This window comes from Homo sapiens, chromosome 14, assembly GCF_000001405.40.
Source record: "Homo sapiens chromosome 14, GRCh38.p14 Primary Assembly".
Taxonomy (NCBI): domain Eukaryota; kingdom Metazoa; phylum Chordata; class Mammalia; order Primates; family Hominidae; genus Homo; species Homo sapiens.
The window spans coordinates 64,937,540-64,945,720 of NC_000014.9; the positions used below are offsets into that span (position 1 = coordinate 64,937,540).

General features: G+C 47.9%; 2 protein-coding genes across 6 annotated transcripts in view; one reads left to right on the forward strand and one right to left on the reverse strand.

The window, feature by feature from the left end:
• The window catches only part of CHURC1-FNTB (CHURC1-FNTB readthrough), a 148,295-nt gene that overhangs the window by 23,179 nt on the left and 116,935 nt on the right, over positions 1–8,181 (forward strand). The window lies entirely within an intron of this gene.
• On the reverse strand, positions 1,619–5,206 carry GPX2 (glutathione peroxidase 2). Of its 4 annotated transcripts, none has more exons than NR_046320.2 (3): positions 4,966–5,206; positions 2,454–2,659; positions 1,619–2,299 (listed from the first exon to the last, which is right to left on the reverse strand). NR_046320.2 is itself a non-coding variant. In NM_002083.4 (2 exons), the coding sequence occupies exons 1-2, from the start codon at positions 5,185–5,187 to the stop codon at positions 1,949–1,951; spliced, it is 573 nt and encodes a 190-aa protein (NP_002074.2). In that variant the 5' UTR covers positions 5,188–5,206; the 3' UTR covers positions 1,619–1,948. The 4 variants fall into 4 exon arrangements, 1 of the variants encoding a protein (NP_002074.2); NR_046321.2 differs by lacking the exon at positions 2,454–2,659 and adding an exon at positions 3,778–3,982; NR_138078.2 differs by lacking the exon at positions 2,454–2,659 and adding an exon at positions 3,778–3,987.

Here is an 8,181-nt window from a genome sequence, read left to right on the forward strand (position 1 = left end):
ATACCCCAGCTGTTGACTTTAAGAGCAGGAATCTGAAAGGCTTGAGGTTTCAAGAGTGAAGGTAAGGGTAGCCTTAAGTTAGCAGAAGGCCCTGCAGAAAGGTGTCAGGGGATTCCCACTGTAATACTCAGGTTACCCTTTTGAAATAAAGCACTGTTGTTGACAGGTTTAGTTGAAGGTCAGAAAGTGGGGATCCTAAACATCTATTCCACATTCACTCTCATATGATGCAAGTGCTTAGAAAATGGTTAGGGTAAGCAGAACAATTAAAGGAAAAACATTTTCCCTTCAGCATTGGGCTTCTCAAGCAGTGTGTCCAGTTTGGAAAACTGTCCCTTCAGGGTTTCAGTGAATAGAAGTGAAAATATTCCATCTAGTGGTCAAAGAAGGGAAGATGAAATGAGAAGTTTCCAGGATGAGGTCTGTGGGGCAAGGTGACAGGCAGTGGCCTCTCAGCAGGTATCTTTTCCAGAACATGATAGAACCTGACCTTGGCGGTGGTGATATGTTTTGATTATGTCTGCACTGGATGAGGAATTGGGGACACCATCCTTGCAAGGCCTCTGAGCAAAACTGTCCTCACAGTGAGGAATAATGATGTTGCAAATGGCAGATTATAAACAGCCTGACTCTGAAGGGAGGCTCTCTCCCATCCCCAACCCCTTCCTTCTTACAGAGGAAGAAATGAGTCCAGTCATTCCTGCCTCTATTTGTCTGGAGCCTGAATTTGTGAATATGTGATTTTGAGAAGAATGAGGGTGTAATGTGAACTTTATTTATTTATTTTGAGACGGAGTCTCACTCTGTCGCCCAGGCTGGAGTGTAGTGGCGCCGCCATCTTGGCTCACTGCAGCCTCCACCTCCCGGGTTCAAATGAGTCTCTCACCTCAGCCTCCTGAGTAGCTGGGATTACAGGCGTGCGCCACCACACCTGGCTAATTTTTTGTATTTTTAGTACAGACAGAGTTTCATCATGTTGGCCAGGCTGGTCTCGAACTCCTGACCTCAAGTGATCCGCCTGTCTCGGCCTCTCAAAGTGCTGGGATTATAGGTGTGAGCCACCACACCCGGGCCATGAACTTTAAAAAGGAGGGAGAATCAGTCTAGCAAAGGATCAAACACCCGAGATGTTTGATGATCAGGAAAAAGATAAAGTGCTGTTTGTGTTCTCAGTAACTACACCCTCTATGCCCTTGCTATTGGTAAACATTAACTAAGCTGACTGCCCAGGAATTTCCCAAGGCACAAGTCAGATCTAGTTGGCCCAGTACCCACAGTGCTATTGATGCTTCCTGACTGTAATCCTCCTAACAGCCTCCCAATATCCCCAACCAAAGGGCTCATTGTCTTTTCCTCCTCTACCTCCCATTATCACTTTCTCTTTTTCCCCAGTTCTGAAGAAGAGCTGTAAAGGAATAATATAATTCACATTTCCCGTAACTGCACCTGCCACTGCAGACCTTGGCCAGCGCTTGCTTTCCTGTCAGTAATTAGGGCATCCCTTGATCCGTCAGATCCTCCCCTCCCAAAGCTTTGTGTGCTAGCAGCTCCTCTATCCCACCTGCAGTTTGTAGCTTCCCTCCGCCCTCTGTCAAAGAACACACACACAGGCTGGCCGTTTCCACACCTGCCCTTTATTGGTCTCTTCTAGCAGAGTGGCTCCAGGCCCTTCACGCCTCTCAGACACCACCCATGAGGGTTTAGGAAGGTGCCATCATTCTGTGAAGGCCCAGAGCTTACCCAAGTCTTGGAGCCCAAGTTGAATCACCAACCAGAGGGTTGGGAGAGGAAAAGGAAACAGGCAGAGGGGAAAGGCAAGGCTCTGCAGTGAAGGGGACTGATATCAAGGGAATGCTGAGGTCCAGCAGTGTCTCCTGAAGGCATGCTGCATCCTAAGGCTCCTCAGGACTGGATGGAGTAGGAGATCTGTGTGTTGAGCAGTTCACATCTATATGGCAACTTTAAGGAGGCGCTTGATGTCAGGCTCAATGTTGATGGTTGGGAAGGTGCGGCTGTAGCGTCGGAAGGGCTCTCCCTCCGGCCCTATGAGGAACTTCTCAAAGTTCCAGGCCACATCTGAGCGGCGCACAGGGCTCCAAATGATGAGCTTGGGATCGGTCATGAGGGAAAATGGGTCATCATAAGGGTAGGGGAGCTTGTCCTTCAGGTAGGCGAAGACAGGATGCTCGTTCTGCCCATTCACCTCACATTTTTGGACAAGGGTGAAGGTGGGCTGGTATCCACCCCCAGGACGGACATACTTGAGACTGTTCAGGATCTCCTCATTCTGACAGTTCTCCTAGGGGAGGAAAAAGACAAAGTGCGTGGACAGTGGGTGGGGGAAGAGAAAGATCCACAACATGAAACTCTTTCACCCTCCTACACTCCCTCCCCAGGGTCATTCTTTTTCACTGTGAAAGAGAGAGAGACAAGACAGACGAGGTGTTGCTCACTGCAGCCTTGAACTTCTGGGCTCAAGCATTCCTCCTGCTTCAGCCTCTTTAGTAGCTGAGACTACAGACACAGGCCACCATGCCCGGCTAATTTTTTTTTTTTTTTGTAGAGATGGGGTCTCACTTTGTTGCCCATGCTTTGGCTGCTCTTCAAGATTTAGCACTTCTGAGCTGTTGCTTTTGTCTCCAGTCTACCCTGAGCAGTTCTTAAGGTGTTTGAAGCAGAAGAAAGAGAAAAGAGGCTTAGGTTATACTGCTTAGAACCTCCTCTTCAACTAACCTACCGACCCACCTACCCATAAATCCATACCTACACACACACCCCTTTCCTTTCCTCTGCCCTGGTTTTGCCTCGCCTGCTTTCAATTGCACGTGTGTTGAGTATAGCCTTTGCCTCTGCCTACTCAGCTCCTTGAACTGAGGGTGAAATTGAGACCCAGAGGAATGGGATTTACAGCTTCTTGCTTTCTTCTTGCCTTGTCCTAGAACTGAAGTACAAATGGGAAGAAGCTTTGATGAAGGAAGACCCCCATCCAAGAACATCTAGTTTTCAGGTGCCATAACAGCAGAGCAAGTTCAAGGCAACAATGAATGTGTACTCTAAATGGAACTACTTAGTAACCAACAGGCATGAAGTAAATAGGATACAGGATTTAGGGTTTGGCAATAGGCCAGGGGGAGGGGGAGTTGAGGAAATAAGTGCTTGATGGCTAAAGATTGTGAGTATGTAATTATCATTCTTTTCTTGAGTAGGCTGCTACCCAAAGACTGCTGCACCTCCTATCCACTCACTGCTCTCAGCTACGCATGCTTTGGCTCAAAACCTGGTCCCTGCCTTTCCCTCCCCACTGCCATCCCTGTCCTATTCCCTCTCAGCATCACCATTCATGACAATCCAAAAGGCCTATGGGAACCCTTCTTTTCCACCTCTACCTTTCCAATTTAACAGACAGATACCTTCCTCTGGGAGAAAGTTCCTGCTTCTGACCTGTGAGAACTAACTAGTTCAGTCAGTTCCAGGCCATCATGACATCATGAGCCCAGAGCTGATCTCTAGTGGACTTCTCTGTTTTTGTTTCTGTTTTTTTTCCTGAGACAGGGCCTCACTCTGTCACCTAGGCTGGGGTGCGGTGGCACAATCATAGCTCACTGCAGCCTCGACTTCCCAGGCTCAGGCGATCCTGCTACTTCAGCGTCCCAAGTAGCTGTGACTACAGGCACATGCCACCATGCCTGGCTAATTTTTGCAATTTTTTGTAGAAACAAGGTTTCACCATGTTGCTCAGGCTAATCTTGAACTCCTGAGCTCAAGCAATCTGCCTACCTTAGCCTCCCAAAGCGCTGGGATTATAGGTGTGAGCCACTGTACCCTGGCAGATTTCTATTTCTTGATACAAATGGCTGGCTGGCTCCTGGTAGGTTATAGACTCCCTCCAGCAACTTGCTAGGCTGAAGAGATGGTGTGAGGCTGGAGGTACTTCTGGGGCTGGAGGGACATCTCGAAAGAGGGTTTGCTACTTCTGTCTCTCCTGCTCTAGAAAAGGCCAGACAGAAAACTTAGGGAAGAACAGTGAGAGCAGTGAACAGTTTGGGCTCAGGTTTGTCACAGCCAGTGATGCTTCAGCCTTCCTGCTTTCCTGTCTTCCTCACCTTCATACCACTGTGAATTGAACTAAGGGGATTATAACGAGAGGGTTCGCTTGGGTTCATTCTCCCTGCTTGTACGTTAAAATCATAGGTGGAAATAGAAGAATCCCTAAAAGAGAACTCGAGGTGTGTGGGCTGAAGATCTATAACAGCTTGACCCATTAATCAGAAATAGGTGCATGTAATGCCCAGAGGCACGTGCCTTTTGAAAACCTTTCTCTTTCCTGCTTATTTTCTTTCCACTTGGCTAATTTAAACCAACAAAAATCATCCTCAATCTAAATAACAGTTTGCTTGCATTTGCATAGTACTTTATATTTTTCAAGTTACTTTTGTATATCCTGTCCCCTAAACATCATAATAATCCTATGAGCTAAGTGGTATTATCCCCAATTTACAGATGAGGAAACTAAACCGAAAAATGAAGCGCCCTTTCCGAGGGCACAGAGCCATTAAATAGCAAAACCAAGTCCAGCTAGAGCTAAGGTCTCTTGAGTCTGTCCAATTCTTGTTTGATTCCTGGCCTCTACTTTCTCCACTCATTTATTCAACAAATATTTAATGAGTGCTTTCTGTGCCCTAGGCACTGAGGACACAGTGGAGAGAAACACAGACCTGGAACCAGCCCTCATGGAGTAATATAGTAGAAAGACAGTAAACTATAAAAATCACACAGCCTCAGTGTTTAATCTTAAAAAATATATACCTTCTCTTGGTATGTCACATGCACCTAAAGACCTAGCTTAACAAAACATACCCCATTATTCCAGACACTCCAAAACATGGTCATTCAGCCTCTCCTTTTATCCCACCTGAGCTACACCAACCCAACACTTTTGGTGCATTACAAGGAGGGACCCCTCACCTGATGTCCAAATTGGTTGCAAGGGAAGCCAAGGACCACCAGGCGCCTGGGAAAGCGGCATTGCAGCTCGTTGAGCTGGGTGAAGTCCCGGGTGGTTGTGCCTCAGAGCGAAGCCACATTCTCAATCAGCACGGCCCTGCCCCGGAACGTATTGAAATCTACCTTCTCCCCATCCAGGCTGATGGCACTGAGGTCATAGAAGGACTTGGCAATGAAAGCCATGGTGAAGCGCAGAGTGAGCCCCGCAGAGAGGCCTGAGCCCACTTATGAGCCTATTAGAGGGGTGGGGAGGAAGGAGGAGCCAGGAAGGAGGACAGAAAGGATCTAACAATGGAGCTTTGAGCATCCCCAGGATGACTTAGCAAAAACAGGTCCCCACCTGTAAGTGCTGTTTGAACAAGGAGGTTGCTCCTCCTATTAACAGACTGAACAAGGCCGCCTCCCCGCCCCACCCTGCTGCAACCTGGGAAGGGCCAATTTGATATCTATGAGCAGAGGTAAATAATTCACTGCTTACAGGAAACCAGAGCCCTAAAGGTCGAATGGAGAGGAAAAAAAGGGAGGGAGGGATGCAGGATTGACTCCTACTTGCCCCATCAAGTTGTTCTCATTTGACACAGACGTTTATTGAATGCCTGCTGAGTGTCAATCTCTGAATTGTACAGTGAGAGGGCAGGGTCTGCGGAGATCTGAAAGATGAAGAAGAGAATTGAGCCTCCTATCCATGGGACTCAGATGACAACTGAAATATACATATTCCTGTTCACGTTCTTCTCTTTGTTGCTTTCCACCAGGACAAAATCAAAGGGACCCTTAGGAGGAGAGTGTGTCATTTTCTAGGGGAAAAAAGAAGTTTTCAGTGCCTCAGCTCTTGCCAGGCTGAAGAGACAAAGTTGTGTTTATCTTGAAAAGTCTTTCAGTGCGTGGTGCCACTTGTCCTGGAGAACACACCAGCCTCTGCCCCTGCACTGTACCATCTCCTATATTATATCCCCCACCTCCACCTCATCCCCCAGCCCCCAAGTCATGAGGCTCAGTCGTTGCTGGGAGAATGGTGAAGAGGAGTCACAGAACAGGTGGATAAACTTAGTGGATGAACTGCACCTACCTTCCTCTCAGACAGAGATTTGGTCCCCAAGACTTTTCAGAGCGGGTTTGTGCTGGTCACCTTCCCACAGAAGGAAGTGTGTGGAGGAAGTTGAAGCTGCTGTGGTTCCAGACGCAGGCAGGTCACCCCTGATGCTTTCAACAAGAGGCGTGCAGTGCATCGCAGGACATCTGCTAAGGGCCATCTCAGAGGCCCACCCCTGGAAGCCACAGAAACCGAAAAGACCCAAGCACCCGCCAACTCAACAAGTTACTCTTTTAAAAATGCCTTGATTTCTTCATCAGTAAAACTAGCAATGGGGCTTGACCTAGCTTTGGGATTTTAGAGTGAAATTTCAATAACAAAGCAAATGTTTACTAGGGTGTTTTCACAGGGGCACATCCATTGGGAACTGTCTCCTTGGAACAAAGAATAAGCAAGTCCGGGGAGCAGCTGGTCTTGAGAATCTGATTTGTTGAGATGAGATGAAGTAATTATCACCAGGGAGCGCCAAGCTGCCTTGCAGCTTTTCCATGGCTGTTCAAGTATACAGGGACCATGTGTCTCAGCTGGCTGCTCCCTAAAAACAAGTTTCCATTACCTAAGTGGACAGAAGGAGTGACAGGAAGTGTAGAGGGAAGTGTGTCCCCTGCTGAAGCTGGGTGGAGTTCCTAGAAGCAACCAATAAGAAAGAGTCCCCACCAAGCCACTGAGTCACAAGGACTTGGCACTGATAGTGGGCAGAACTGTAACTTGCCGGATTTATGTGCATACCTAGAGCTTCCCCCTAGTACTCTCTGGGCCTCCAGAGACACCTCTTATTCTCTGCTCTTTTGCAAGCCTTCTTCAAGAAGGCCATGGGAGTTCCCAAGATGAGGAGTGTGGGGGTTCCCTCTTCCTTAGGTACATGCCATCCCTTTTCTCCTGGTGTGACCTTGGACCCTTCAGACTCCCAGGGTTCTCACCTTTCCTAATGGAATATACTTGGTGAGGCTCTCCTAAAATATCTCTGTCTCCAAATTTACCTCAAACTGGCCTCGCTTTCCAAAAGCTTACAACTTTAAGCATACACTAAGCAGCGTATGATTCTTATGGCTTTCTGTGGGACAGTGCTTGCTCTGGACACAGCACTGGCTTAGGCAGAAAGCCTGGGTTGGTGGTTCTTAATTCTGACTGCAAATGAGAATTGTTTGTAGGAATTTTTCTAGAGATGCCAAAGCTTTGCCCTCCAGTGATTCCAATTCAGTGGTTTACAACCACAATTCTGCCACTGTTACTTCGGACCCTTAGGCAAATCTTTAAGCTCTTTTTATTGAGACAGGGTCTTTCTCTGTCACCCAGGCAGGAGTGCAATGGTGCAACTGCAGCCTTGACCTTCTGGGCTCAAGTGATCCACTGGCCTCAGCCTCACAAGCCACCACACTCAGCTAATTTTTTCTAGAGACAGTGTCTCACTATGTTGCCCAGGCTGGTCCCAAACTCTTGGGCTCAAGCAGTCCTCCTGCCTCGGCCTCCCAGAGTTGGGATTACAGGCATGAGCCACTGCACCCGGCCAAATCTTTAAGTTCTCTGATCATCTGTTTCCTTGCCTGTGGGACCTGGGTAGATAACCACCCTCCCCATCTCACACGGTGATGGTTAGGGTCAGAAGAGTTTATCTATCACTAGTGCCGGGTAAAGTGTAGTGAAAATCTTAAGACTACTGTTGTCCTGCGTTGTCCTACTCCTTTCTTCATTCAGTCCTTATCCCCAATATTCTCCACCTCCATCAATTCCATATCCCAAAGTATGAAATACCTGCAGTCCTGAGATCCCAGTCTGCCTCTGCTCCCCCGAGGTATCCAATCACAAATCTGAAAGATTATCCAGTCCCACCTCATGCCTTCAGGAAGACCCGTTCCTGACCCACACAAACAGATGAGACTCATCTTGGCTTTAAAACCTGCTCATAGATGTTCAGCATCCTCTCGATAACTGTGTTTCATCTTATTTCTGCAGTGCCAGCCCAATGCAGGGCAACGGGGCTTTGCTTTGGGCCTCCCTGCAGGTGGCACTAGGGAAGGTAGAGAAGGGAAGACAATGTTTGCCGCTTCCGTGGTCACTCTACTGCTGTTGCCTTTGCTTCTGGA